Source organism: Homo sapiens, chromosome 14 (genome assembly GCF_000001405.40).
Source record: "Homo sapiens chromosome 14, GRCh38.p14 Primary Assembly".
Lineage (NCBI taxonomy): Eukaryota > Metazoa > Chordata > Mammalia > Primates > Hominidae > Homo > Homo sapiens.
Window position 1 is genome coordinate 99,397,356 of NC_000014.9, and position 14,484 is coordinate 99,411,839.

Sequence of the window (14,484 nt, forward strand, 5' to 3'; positions counted from 1 at the left end):
TTCACGTTTTCAAAATCAGCGGTGTACTTAGGACATCAGAGACAATGTGAAAATTTGTGGTAAAGAAAAACTGGTATCAGTAAACCTGAAAACTGGTGGCAGAAGGAGACAGATCCCTCTCCCACCCCAAGGACATGGTCCCAACCTTTTCCTTCCCCTAAATCCTAAGGACTCCTTTTCTTGAGTTCCCGCTGCCTGCATAGATGGGCACGCTGATGAGGGGGGCTCCTACAGTCCTCTGGGCCCCACGGCTATGTCTCAGTAGCCCCCAGGTTAGCACAGCCCAGGGCAGGAGGTCAAGGTTCCAACAATGCTTGGGCAGTAAGATGGATTGTGTAAAAGCTAAACTCACAGGGCCTGTCCCACTCCAAAAAAAGGAATAGACAAAAATATTAATCATGTTTTTCTTTTAATAAGGGTTTTTACTCAAAAGTGTAGCTTTGAAAATCTCTAGCTTGTTGTGAAAACCAGGAAAGCCAAGGAGCTGCCTCACACTGCACACCACCACGTGAAGCTGTGGGCCGCTGTGTGTTTGCAAACTCTCCATTACCAAGGCTGGAATCAAATGCACCACTTTAAAATCAGAGCCAACATTTAAAATTAGGAGGATGATGCATGTCCTACTTTGATTCAAGGAGAAAGGACAAGTTCTTAGTACAGTAAAACAAAACACAAAAGTAAACAAATCTTTAGAAATCACTATATATATGTGTGTTTATATATATATTTTTATATAATTAGGATTATCATCATTTCAAACTATTAAAAATAAGGTTGCCACCTTACCTTTTCTTTTGGTAATGGGGTGTTATTTTTTTTAAGAGAAAAAACCAAACATTTTGCCCAGACTCTAGAGTTTCCCAACTTCAATTCTGTTTTCTGCTGTGCAACTTCCCCACCTTCACGCTGTATCCCCAAGTCCCGCCACCAATTCTGGCTGGCAGGAGGCAGAGCAAGCTTTCATTCTGGTCATCAAGATGACAGGCCCACAAAAGTACAGCTGAGACGGGAACTGAATTCTTCCCCAGGAAGAAAATACCTATACCCACAATAGGTCTGCAAAATCTCCCACAGGCACCTCTTCTCCCTTTCTTGTGGTTGTTTGTTAATTGGTTTGTTTTGCCTAAAAGCAAGATGGCAATCTTAATCAAAAAGGGAAGCTAGATTTTTAAAATAACTTAAAAAAACCATTTTTATATAAAGCAGCAAAAACATATCTTCCTCTCTGCAGAAAGAAAAATGTTAACAAGGAAACACAGCGATGTGAACGGACTGTCCGTCAACTCCTGCTCCACTGGATCCCCCATCCAGCTTCACCTCGAGCTACTCCTTAACTCCAGCAGTGCTGTCTGAAGAAGATCCTTTGGCGTCTTCAACTGCTCTTTTACTTTCTTGATTGAGACTTTCATTTTCGGACCTGGTCCCATTAGGGATAGAGTTTTCACCGTTTACAAGCCCGTTTTCTGTGGCCTTTGCTTTGCTGATTGCCTCTCTGATGTTCAAGGCATCCTGCACTCCAGCCTCCTCCTCGAGGTTTCTCAAGACCAGGGGGAGCCTCGAGTCCCCCACGCTGCTCTCCAACAGCCCAAGGTTACTCTCTTCATATTTGGGAAGCGGAGCCTTTTCCTCCATCTGTTGGCGATAGTATTCCCGGTTGACAGCTGCACTCTTTACTGCTTTTTCCAAAATCTCTTTCTCACCTAAGCGCAATTTGATGGCCATTTTTGCACGAACAGAAAGATCGTGGTTTTTCAAGACGGATTTATCTTCCTGGAAAACAAGAGCAAAATTAATTACAAGAAGTCTAAACCAGCAAAACTATAGAGACAGAGGGCACAACGGCTGGGGATGGGGACATGAGGGAACTTTTTGGGGTGACGGGAGGTTCTAACACTTGACTGGGCAGGTGGTCGCATGACCAGACACTCACATCAAAACGTACGCTTCAGAAGTATGCCTTTCATTGTATGTAAATTATACCTCAATGGAAATGTTACAAAACAAGAAAGAACAGCCTAAATCAAACAGTGCTACCCCATCTGCCAGGGAACTTCACTGATTTAAAAATCATCCTGTCTATCTTGGGCACTGATGTAGCCCCAGGGCAGCACGTGGGTGAATGGCATCAGTGAAGGAACGAATAAATGAGAAAGATGTATTTGAAGTTAGTGGCTCAGTAGTGAACTTAAAAAGCACAAATGAAAACATGTTTGTGAAATCACGTGAATTATAAATTATAAAAAAGTATTGAATAATCTTAAAAATGTATCTTCTAATAAACAATGCCTAAATATGATTTTTTGGGAAATGAATGGAAAATTTCAAATGCAATCATTTTGCTAAACTATTACAGTAGTTTAGAATTAACAAGAAATCTTTCATTAAATTTTTTTTTTTTTTTTTTTTTTTTTTTGAGACGGAGTCTTGCTCTGTCACCCAGGCTGGAGTGCAGTGTCGAGATCTCAGCTCACTGCAACCTCCGCCTCCTGGGTTCAAGCGATTCTCCTGCCTCAGCCTCCTGAGTAGCTGGGATTACAGACCACACCCAGCTAATTTCTGTATTTTTAGTAGAGACGGGGTTTCACCATGTTGGCCAGGCTGGTCTTGAATTTCTGACCTCGTGATCCGCCCCGCCTCGACCTCCCAAAGTGCTGGGATTACAGGCGTGAGCCACCGCACCAAGCCTCATTAAACATCTTAACAACACAACAAGTTCAAAACCTCATTTATTTAGTGTAATTACCTCAATAGTTGTTTTATATGTTTTTAAAAGAAGTGAGGCTCTATCTTCAAGAAATGTCCAAAGTTTGACCTCGTTGTCCCAGCTAACAGGAAATTCCGAGTTCCCCAAGGTGAAGATTCTATCAATAGCGCTGTCTCCCAGCAAGTGTTCTTTCAGTTCTTCTACAAGAAATACAAATGGCAATCTGTTAGGAGGAAAACATAGCACTCCTCATTTGAACAAGCAATCTACCTTAGAAAATATTGTTTCCAACAACGCCATTTTCCCACGGTAAAAGCTGTCCCTACGCAATGGGCCAGGCCACTCCTAGACTCTCCAAAGTAGAGCAGAGCTAAGTTTTGGGGAGCAACACCAGGTCAGGCCTCTCCATGTGGAATCCTGATCAAGCCTTGGTAGCACTCCAGTTTTCACTGTTTCTATGAGGGACACTGAGAGCCTTTAGACAGTTTCACAAGATACTTTTTAAAGACAATCTACAGCCATGTACCCCCTTATTTTGACAATACCCCTTTTGCTAGCCATGAGCTCCATCACACCAAGTCAAAAAAGACATTTAGGTGAACGATGTAAACGGTGAAAGGAACAAGAGCCACAACAATCCCGCAAGCCCATAACTGTAAATCTGATTGGCACTTATTCTAGTAGATGACCTGACCAAGCTATTTAAGCCACGTTCGTAACAAGCCACAAACTGAAAGAAATAAGAGCCTAAATCAAACAGTGCTACCATAAGGAGCACTATCAAAATCTTAGTTAATGGGCCGGGCGCAGTGGCTCACGCCTGTAATCCCAGCACTTTGGGAAGCCAAGGCAGGTGGATCACTTGAGCCCAGGCGTTTGAGACCAACCTGGGCAATGTGGCGAAACCCCATCTCTACAAAAAATACAAAATTAGCCAGGTATGGTGGCACATGCCTGTAGTCCCAGCTACTCAAGAGGCTGAGGTGCATGGATGACTTGAACCCAGGAGGTGGAGACTGCAGTGAGCTGTGATCGCACCACTGCACTCCAGCCTGGGCAACCAAGTGAGACCCTGTCTCAAAAAAAAAAAAAAAAAATTCTCAGTTAATGAAAAATATGCCCATCTCTCTCACTTGTCAGGAATTTAAATAGGAATTACAAATACACACAAGTGAACATCTCAATTATCTCCAAATATATTTAAGAAGAGGAAAGAATTCAGCAACTGCTCTTAGCATTTTATCTCCCGGCACATTATCTCCAAAACCAAAACAAGCCGATCCTATTCATGCTGAAGAAACAGACCCATGCTTCTTATGTGATTAGGAGACAGTGTCTCTTTCAGAGCAAAATGCCCCACAGCTGTCACTATTTACGATTCAAACTGAAGAACTGCGGCTGCCAGCAAACCAAACTTTTATTAGTATTAGTTAGAGTAATTCAAAGATACAGCAATTGTCTTGACATGACAAATTGTCTATGACTAGAGAGGAACTAAAGAGAATCAACAGACCTAAAAGGATTCAAGCAGTTTTAAGAAAACAAGCTATCTAATGTTCAAAAAAGTTTATTAACTTTTATTTGTTAGTAAAGATCATGATAAAATTCAGGATTTTTAGTTTTGAGTCATTTTATATTCTTTGCATACAACATGGACGTTCTGTTTTTTTAAGCTTTCTTAGTGGCTGAAAGTTCTTTTCAAAGGCCCCCAGTATGAAGGTTACTGTTTCCTTCCCTCATCTCCTTCCTCAATCTGCCCAAGTTGCACTCTGCAATGATGGAAGCTGCAGGTGTGCGGCAGAGCTTTCTCTCCGCTACTTTTTAAAAGTGAAACTGGACTCATTTCACATTTCTGGAGAAATAAAGCCTACAAAAAGGGGAGTAAGACAATGTAGCATGTGGCCTGCCTGCAGGCCAGGAGCTCCTGCAGCAGGTGCCCTCCTGAGCTTTCCTCCAGCAAACAGGGCCTGCAAATTATCCCTGCACCTCATTCTGGCCACCACAGTGTGTGCTCACCCCGGAGGGTACAGAGCCCAGTGCCCTCCACCCTCTCTCCCTAGCTCCTGCTCAAGCTCCTCCCTATGCTAAAGGTCTTCAGTCATACCCCTCCCCTCCTGCTCTACCTTGTCCAAACAGTCGCTGAGCTCCACAGTTTAACTTGAATGCCATTTCCTCCAGACCCCTAGAGCACTAAGACTTTTTTCCATGTACTATGTTATCTGTGAACCAGCAGGAGCAATGTGGGATGTCCTGCACGTGGGCTCTGGAGTTAACAGAGGTGGGTTCTAAGTCAGGGTCATCACTTGCTTACTGAGCAACCTCGGCCAAGTTACTTATCCTCTTTGGGTTTTTTGTTAGTTTGTTCGTTTGTTTGTTTGTTTTAGACAGGGTCTTGCTCTGTTGGCCAGGCTAGGGTGCAGTAGCAAGATCACGGCTCACTGCAGCCTCAACCTCCCAGGCTCAATCAATCCTCCAACTTCCCAAAGTGCTGGGATTACAGGCATGAGCCACAGCATCCAGCCAACTTTATACTCTTCCCCCACTCCCCACCCACCTGGGTCTCACTCTGTCACCCAGGCTGGGGTTGGCTTACTGTAGCCTTCACCTCCCAGGCTCAAACAATCCTCCTACCTCAGCCTCCCGAGTAGCTGGGACTAGAGGCACGTGCTACCACGCCCAGCTAATACTTACCCTCTTTGAAGTGGAATCTACATCAGTAAAATGGGAGCACTTCCCAATCAAGGCTGATGGGATTAAAACTGAGCATGTACCAAATGTAGCATCATGCCTGGCGCACAGTGAATGCTTCACAAATTCAAGGAATATCATCACCATCACCTCTCTTAATTATAAATGCCTTGAGTACATGAACTGCAACATTCAATTCTGTATCCATATATATGCAAGAAAAGCTCACAGTTAACCCCTTAACTCGTGTTCATTACATTGAATTGATGAACCATTACCCAAGTACAAAAAGCACCAAAAGCTCCCACTTGAATAACCGTAAATCTAGCGACAGGGTTGCTTATGAGGAACAATGACTGTATCTCAGTTTGGGTTCTGCGGTTGGTGTGTGAACTGCCTCTCCTGTTTCGGGACTAGGTTTTTTCTGCCTCCAGCATGACGTCAAACCCTGGACTTGTGCTGCACTGCTCCCTGGATCCAGACATTAAAACCAAAGCCAGTGACCGCCGAGCACAGCAGCTTCCCCCACATGGGCCATGACTGCTTCCTCCGACCAAGGAAGTGCTTGGGCAGCTTCCTTCCAGAACACTTGTTCGTCTGTTCACTCACTCAAACACTCATTTACTCATTCCTACTCAGACTGTTCTGTACAGGATTTAAGGTAGTTAACAACAGCAAAACATACACACACACACACACACACACACACTCTCTCTCTCTCTCTCTCTCTCTCTCTCTCTCTTTCTCTCTCTTAAAAATGAAACCTCAGGGCCAGGAAATTTGTAAGATACATTTTAGGATGAAAAATAAAAACACAACCACGAGAGGTCAAATCTCAGCATAAGAAACCCCAAATGACTTGTTTTAAGCTAATATAAAAGTAGATGCTCAATACAAATACTTAACTCTTTCTGGGCATGAAATAAGAGGCTGTAGCCAGGAACATTTTGTGTTCTACACAGATTCTGTTTGCAATGTTATTTACTCTAACAGGATGCTTGGCATTAAAATGCTTGCTGGCAATTTCAGATTTAGAATGCAGAGTAGGTTAACAAATAAAGTCCTACGGTCCACGTATGCCACAGCTGACTACACAACATCACAGCATCAACTGATCCTGAACTGCTCTATGTAAGTGAAAAAGACTAGTGCCCCGTGAGTGAAATGAGGCTCTGTCAGGCTACAAATGTAGAATTTTGATATATTTACCCTATCCAAGATGTTTTAAGTTTTCTTCAAATGCAGTTGAGAATTATTTGCGTATTACAAATTAATACTGACAACACATCGAGGATTTAATAAAACATTTCTAGGGTAAAACAAATCTATTTCTTCTTTCTCCAGTATTGTATCTTCTCTCTTCCCAAAAGTACTGTAGTTTTAATCCACTTTACCTTTAATCTGAATCCCTATGCTTTACACTTTCATGATTTAAAAAGAAAAAAGTCAACATCTCTTTTTTCCTGAAATGACTTACCTTCAGTCATACAGAATACTCGGAGAAAAGCCAAAAGCTGAGCAGAGATGGGCGGCTCGGTAAAATGCAATGCAAAAACACTGGAACTGATAAAAGCAGAAAGCAAGATCAGTCACCCTGCTGCGGTTACCCACTTGCTCCAAACTGAGATTCCTTAAGTCTACAGCACGTGTGGTTGTCCTCAAGGAGAGCTGAGCTGGAATGGGTCATTCCAGCTCCTCATCTCAACTGTGAGCACGATTTTCAGCCCCTGCAAAAGGCCGCAGGCTGGGGCGGAGGCAAGCGGACATCCAGAATTGGAGACCATCCTCACAAGCTTTTCCTAGAGCCTAACAGCTGTAATCTCAGGTTGCACATAATACATTCAAAAATTAAACATACACATGGTTTTTAAAAAGTGTTAACAATAATTTATGTTGAGTTCACACTTTAATCATTAATCAAATATTGACAAGTTCAATAAAAAAAAGGTCTGCATAATCCATTTTCATTAAGAATGGTTCCTCTATTCCCTGGAGAACTAATGAATCCTAATTCCTGTCTTCTTTATCATTTTATGCCTCAAATGCAAGAAAATCTTAAAGAACTTAACTAGAAATTCTTGAAATCACTGAGGATCATGACTTCATTACAGAAACTAATGGTAGCAACGAATTAAATGAAACAAATTGATCCAGGCCATTAACCTTTTCAAGGTGAAAGACATGAATGATACGAAAGTAGTTATTTAACTTAATGAGGATTTCAGGCCATATCCCCCAGAACTGACTGTGAATGCGCCCAACGACACAATTATGTTTACCTGAAAACGCTGGTAAGCCACCAAGCGTCGCCATGGCTTAAATTTGCTGTGCCACGGGGATAAACGGATTAAGACAAACTACTGGAGAGAAGTTTTATTAACACACCAATTAAACACTATGCAACTGGAAATAGTTCAAGTACTGCAAGAAAGGGCCAACCGATGTTTTTCTACGTACGTGGGGATGCCGGCACGAGCCAAGACCTCGGCCTTCATGGCGTAGAGTCTGTCACTTTTACTCACTCCAAGCTTTATTTTCACTCTGTCGTGTGAGTTATTGTCAAAGAAAAAACCACTGTGGATCACAAACTCTGCGTTGGATCGAGTGCCATAAAAAATGTAAATCTGAGATGCAGTAAAGAAAAAAGAAAAGGGCATTAGACAAACTTGGCATGTATTCTTAACACAGGGCAGGGCAGAGGCTTAGTGCTACTTTACATTTAGACACTAAATAGCTGAAAGTATTGATACACCTGTTTGGTATAGGTTGCAAGGGTGAAGCTGTGCAATTTTCCCAACTTTCCAAACTGTCTGAGACCAAGCACCCACTTCCACCACCGTGTGGAGAGGAGAGGGGAGGCCAGGAGAAAGTACCACCAAAGGCCTTACTAGTACTCAAAGGACCCCAGGTGACCTGGGGTCACCAGGCCTCTATTATAAACCTCTTCTCCTTCCAAAGGACAGCAAGGCTATTACTATAAGACTGTATTTTAAAATTCACCAAGTTCTTCCTGTCCTTTTAATACAGCAGGGTCTCTTCTGGAACTGTAAAGCAGTATCTGTCAGAAACTTATTTCTAGATCCTCTGGCAATTAATCCTGCACCTGGCAGGTGGGTTTATAAACTTTTCTGAAGAAGGAACAGATCAGTACTTTGCTAGGCAAGTATTTTTCATTTTGTCTCAACTGGAATGTCAATTATGGATGTGAGTTCCATGACTGTACTGTCTGCTTGGGTGTAGACTGATAGAATGTAGGAATTTATAGACACGTATTTTCAAACTCACCCAAAGGCTTACCCCTCCTCCCACCCAAACTACTAGATTAAAAAATCAGAGATTAAAATGAAAGTATAAGACAACAGATTCCCTTGCTTTTGCCCCTTAAATACTCTTATAAAGTTCTAATCAGTAGAAAAAATAAAGGCAACAGTTTATGAAATGTTAAACATTGTTTAGTGTCATAACACACTTTATTTTCAGTTAAGAGTGTTACAAATATTTACAAATATTAGGCCAATTGTGCAACTAACTGTGTTTAAATCTTTTTCTCTGTGGACCCAAAGCACAATGCAAAGCACAAGTGAGTAAAGCACAAGTGAATATGTGTACTACGGGTTCTGGTCTCAAGATGTGTTCCAGAAAAACAATCCTCAATGTGAATTCCACATTTTTTCCCCTAAGTTAAGTTCCTTTTTAAGATTACCAACACGGTGTTAACGTTAGTGCCCACTGGCTGGCTCACATTTTGTGAGATGCCACGAGACCCACCTGCTCTCCAGCCCGAAAATCCTGCAGAGCCACACACTCACAGCGGTCATCTTCCAGGTTGTAACCAGTAGTGATCTAGCCCGGGGAGGAGGAAGGAAATGATGGTGAGGCAAACACACGCACATCTCACTTAATCTACAAGCTTGTTTCTGGCAATCAGAGGAAAAAGGGGATCCCAAGGTACTCAAAAGGTGGCATCTGAATGCTTTGGAAAATGGGGCAAAGAACTGCTTGAGCACTGAGGTTAACTCTAGTTATATCAGAGATGATTATGGAAAATTACATACCTGAAATAAAGGAAGCACAGTTAGATAAAGAGACTATATAGATTGTCACTTGCTGGACTCAACAAAACATAATCGCCTCTGGGCCTCCCTGGTGGCAGTGAGGGCAGTGAGCCCACAGGCCACGCCTCCCACAGGTGCACCTAAGCCTCCTTTCTGTTCACTGACGATCTGCACTATTCTCATTCATTTGCAAGTATTATCTTTATCTAATGTTTGGCCATTAAGAAATCCAAGTGGGTGTTCCATTGGATAAAGAATCAGGGAAAAGAAAAGCTCTATTTCTGAATTATGGATATATGCTCTGAATTAAAGAAATTAAAACTTTCAAGCATGCAAAGGCAAAATAAAATAACTGCTGTTTTTTATGCCCTCTCTTTCTGCTGAGAAATACAATGTGAGAGTTTCTAAGTCCATTACAAATAAATATAGAAAATCCTCTCATTATACCCCAAACCTGCGTCTCCTTCTAAGCTCCCCCGTCTTAGTGAAGGTCAGCCAATGTCATGGCCTCAGCACACAAGTTACAAGGAAACCCTCGCGTCTCACCTGGTCAGCATTTCATCTTGTAAATACTGTTTGGACTTTCTTCCTCATTCCTCTGCATGGCTATAGTCCTTATTCCTTCTCACCTAGCTTGTTATTTGCAAAAACCTTCCAACTCTTGGAACCTAGTCTCAAAATCCAATACTGTCCTTCTGGAGTTGCTAATTGTACGATGTCACTCTCCTGTTCAAAATCTTCCTATGATTCCGCTCTGCCTTCGGAATAAACCCCAAGTTCCTGAGCACGGCCGAATAAGGAGGCGGCTCACGCTTCCCTCCAGCTTCAGGAACTGCCACCCACCTGCCATCCCAGTTCCCTCCTGCCTGACACTACCTTCTACTCCTGTTGTGGCCTGGCTTCTCAGGGAAGCCCCTCCTTACCCTGCCCTCCTGTGCACTCCCACAGCCCAGTCCTTATGCGCTCCAGCCCAAGTCACGTTATCTGTGCACCTGCCTCCCCGTCGGTCACACTTGGAAGCTGGAGCCCCTTGTTGATCTCTGTGTCCCGAGTGCTCAGCACACAGAACCTAAAACCTGAAGTGGTCTTTGAGAATATTCACGTGATGCATGAACCCGCAGGGGAAAGGAAAGGGTCCCCAGCTTCTATTAAAACCTCCTTCTCAGAGTCCTGTCTTTTAGAGCAGCGCCCAATCTCTTAGGTTGTCTGTCGATGGTCACTGATTACTTTTTGACCTACTCATTTTATCCTGGAGAATCAAAGATTCACAGCAGCTACAAGTGCTCCTTGCTAATAAGGTATCAATAGCTTGGATTCAAAAGATGACTTCTGAGTCTAGGGAATGGCATTTTGGGATGGAAGGCCATGTAACACTAATCTTTAAACTCAATATCCCAAGAATAAATATGGTTTATTAACCATATGTCTAAATTTCCTTCATGCTTCTGATCTGCAAAGACCAGTGATAAATATGCAGCAATGAGAAATAAATGAAGCCAAGTATTCTAGAACATTTCACTCGCAGAACATTTTAAACACTTCAATTGAATGAAAATCAACTCCATGAAGTTCCTGCCCAACATCGGATGTACTTTTCTGACCCCAAAACATCACCTTGACAACAAAGTGGAATGAGAAGCTGCCCATATCATGAACTCCCAGGAGGGAGTCCAGGCACTCCCAGGGTGCTGGCAGTACAGGTACACAGGGACCTGCCAGCAGCACAAACAGGAGGGAGGTTAGAGGAAGGAAGAGAAAATTTAGGGAGATTGTGGAGAAAGGATTATGGGTGTTTAAGGGTATTTTACAGATATTTCCCACTCTCAGCAAACGTCAAGCTCAAGAAATAGTTTAACATGTCCACAGCAACCCGGACAGGCAAACAGGCTGGGATCCTGCCCCGGTCTGCAGCCCTTTCTCAGCAAGGGTCAGAATGTTTGGAGGCTGAGTGTCTAACTTCTTTGTGTGGCACTGCCAAACACTTCCTCTAGGACGGTATCAAGTGTGTCTCAGTGCAAAGAAGTGCAGGCGGAAGCACAGGCCTCGCCCCTCCCTTGCCTGAAGCCAGGTTTCTAGAGGACTCTCTCAGAGCAGAGCCCTCCCAGGGTGGGCCTGCAGAGGGGCCTTCCAAGGCTGTAAGGACCCCACTGCTCAGCAAGGGCCTTCTGGCAGGAGCCCCAGGAAATTACCACCTACGCCCAGAAATCTGCAGACGCTGACCAGGTCTGACTTGAAGCCCAGACTAGGAGAGGAGGGGTTGGGAAGGCCAGGGCTGGTCCAGGGGCAGCCACCCGATGTCAAGCAAGGACAGGGTCCTTCCACCTCCTCCTCGCCCAGCTCCACGTGCCGCTTCCTGCCTCCCACACTGCCAGCTAACTTCCCTTCTACAATACTGAGTGCCATACTATGCCAGGCCCTAAGCGAGGCACTTGGAAAATGGCATGAAAAGTCTCAGTCCCTACCCATAGGGACATCTAGTGGAAAAGACACAGGGAGAAAAAAATTTATATATATACGTATATATAAAAGCAAGTGGAACTGAGAATAGCCCCACAGGAGTCTCAAGTGTGCCCAGGGGAGGGGAGCGGGTGGCAGCCGGAGTTTGTTGGCAATGCTGGAGGAGGAACCCAGCAGGGAGTGGAAGCCTCCAGCAGCTCCATGGAGCCCTGCTCCCTGAAAGCCACCACCTGCCTGCAGCGCACACCACTCACATCTGTGGCTGGCTTGGTAACTCAATGGCACACTTGGTGCACAGCTGTATTCTAGTTTCGTTTACATATTAAAAGTAACATAGGAGGAAGAGCACGATATACATACACACACATCCCTAAGATGGAAACAGAGTGAGGACCATTTACATTTTCTTCTCTGTGTTTTTCAAATTTTCTTCCACAAATATGTATTATATTGATTTCATGGGGGGGGGGAGGATAAAGTAATACAGGCTCATCAAATAAAATTTGGAAAATATTTTTTAAAAAACAAAGAAAAAAGATCACAATCACGTTAACATTTTGGTTTATTTCTTTCTGATCTTTTTTCCTAGGCATGGGGCTTTTACAGTCATTTATTTACCGGTCATGAATTCATTAAAAACCACAGCGATATAGCAATGAGCAAAACAGACCCTCCCCCAAAATCACCCTGCGTTCATGGATCTTCCATTCTAATGGGAGGCGGGGGGGTGAACCAACAATAATTTTTTAAAAAGGCAGAAACAAGCGGATCTGGACAATAGAGGGAAATGTAACAGGACAGGGCAGGAGGGCGGATGAGCTGGAGGCGTAGTCATTCCACATAGGGTGCTCAGGGCAGCCACGCTGGAGGAGGTCTATGAGTGAGTCCCGTAAGTGCCTAAGGAATGGAGGGTCTTAGGCAGAGGCGACAGCAAGAGCGAAGGAATCTTCTGGTGTCTGAAGAATAGCAGGGAACCAGAGGTGAGTCAGACCTGTGTGCACGGAGGGTGTGGGGGGACAGGTTGTTCGGAGAGACTTGTCTGCTATTGTAAAAATGGGCTTTTGAGACTGTAAGACTCATCTAAATATAAATGTTTTAGATTTTTTTTTCAATACACAAACAGAAGGACCCTGAAAAAGAACTTCCCTCCGTTGTGCCTGAATTTCCAGCTGCCCTTTCATCCCACCTGGTAGAGTCGCAGATTCAAATGCAAGCACTGATTATTCCAACATACTCTCTGTATGGGAACTAATACCACTGTCTAACAGTCACTTAGAAGTATCCTTGTCATATCAACCGAAAAATCCTCAACAAAGGAAACCTGCTGCTTACATTAAGTTTGAACAAATCATGCAAGATATAAAGATGTGTTGTTTCTTCCAGCTTAGTACCACACCTTATAACCCTTCCTACATTTATTTCTCTGAGTGGCTAGGAAATTAGTTTATATTCACCAGAATCTCTAGCCTAGGTGTTCATCCAGCCCCTTACTTTCTTTAGCATTTCCTTGCTGTCACTGGTTTGGAATTACTGTTACTGACTTGATTCTTCTGTTTCTACTACCATAATCAGGTTTTTGGGATATTGTTAGAAGCAGACAGCGTTGCTGGGTTACAAATTCTACCTACTCCCTGAGTGATAGTCAGGGTAGACTGACAATAAGAAGATGATCGTCAGGATAGACACACACAAAAAAGAAAATCTCGTCTTAAAAGCCAAGCCTTGATTTCAAGACTTTATTTTTAAAAAGACATTAACTGTAATATATATCATAAACAACTTTGTAGTGTTAAAAAATAGAATTTCTTAAATTCTACTCCAGTAAATTTCCCATGAGATCTTATAATTACAATGGGAAACAGTTCAACAAGAGTGCAGAGTGCAGAATGTCAGGAACATAACCACTGTAAGACAAAGTACCAGCATCCTGAATAAACCTTCTACAGGTTAGCAATGTTTCTGCCAGGACTGTGGTAGGTTAAAAAGTATGTAGTCGTATTAGGGAAAACACAGCACTGGTTGTCATCAATTTCTTTATTTTGAGATAAACCTCTTTTTTTTTTAACACTTGGTAGGGAAAAAGGAATTGTTTTATCCCATTTACATGGAAGCTAAACAAAAACCAATGTGCAGATGAGTGTGTGAGGTGCCAATGGATGGAAGCTTCGCTAGGGACCACGGTGGCCTGGTGGCGGCCTCAACACCATCAGGTGGACTGTGGGGCTGGGGGTAGGGCACTGCTCACCTTGCTACAGAGGTTCCTGGGTTAATTCTTTTTGTTTGTTTAGAGTAAAGCCAAGCATTATTGCTTTAATTTTATTAAAAAGAACTCTAATAATCAATTGAGTTTGGGAACAAATGATCTCATTCAAAAAAAGAAGAAGAAAAACACTACAGTCAGATATTAAAAGCTATTTGAAGATTTCTTAAATTTCAAGCTTACCGTCAATTTAAAATAACTCTGAAGAAAAACAAAACAAAAAATGTAAAATTATATTCATTAATGAAAATAAGTTATAAAACATGCTATTATGTTTTAGTATTCATTACTAATTAAATTAACCATATCTAAATTAAGGC

The 14,484-nt window shown here is 42.8% G+C and overlaps 1 protein-coding gene across 9 annotated transcripts in view, besides 1 other annotated feature; it reads right to left on the reverse strand.

The window, feature by feature from the left end:
- Nucleotides 1–392: 392 nt before the first annotated feature.
- The window catches only part of SETD3 (SET domain containing 3, actin N3(tau)-histidine methyltransferase), an 88,711-nt gene continuing 74,619 nt past the window's right edge, over nt 393–14,484 (reverse strand). For 7 of the 9 annotated variants that reach the window (XM_017021699.2, XM_011537233.3, XM_011537231.3 and 4 more), the window contains 5 exons: nt 9,161–9,235; nt 7,850–8,016; nt 6,870–6,955; nt 2,744–2,904; nt 393–1,770 (listed from right to left, as the gene is read on the reverse strand). In XM_017021699.2, coding sequence (XP_016877188.1) covers nt 1,324–1,770; nt 2,744–2,904; nt 6,870–6,955; nt 7,850–8,016; nt 9,161–9,235 — 936 coding nt within the window. In that variant the 3' untranslated portion in view covers nt 393–1,323. Of the gene's footprint in view, nt 1,771–2,743; nt 2,905–6,869; nt 6,956–7,849; nt 8,017–9,160; nt 9,236–12,448; nt 12,861–14,484 lie in introns of those variants that run through there. The other 2 variants (XM_011537235.1, NM_199123.2) reach the window with 1 other exon arrangement.
- Nucleotides 11,065–11,631: an enhancer, noted in NCBI's record as "H3K27ac-H3K4me1 hESC enhancer chr14:99874757-99875323 (GRCh37/hg19 assembly coordinates)". NCBI's record gives its function as "activates a minimal SCP1, AML or CMV promoter by ChIP-STARR-seq in primed H9 embryonic stem cells {active_cell/tissue: H9 hESC(primed)}" and the evidence as "EXISTENCE:reporter gene assay evidence [ECO:0000049][PMID:30033119]".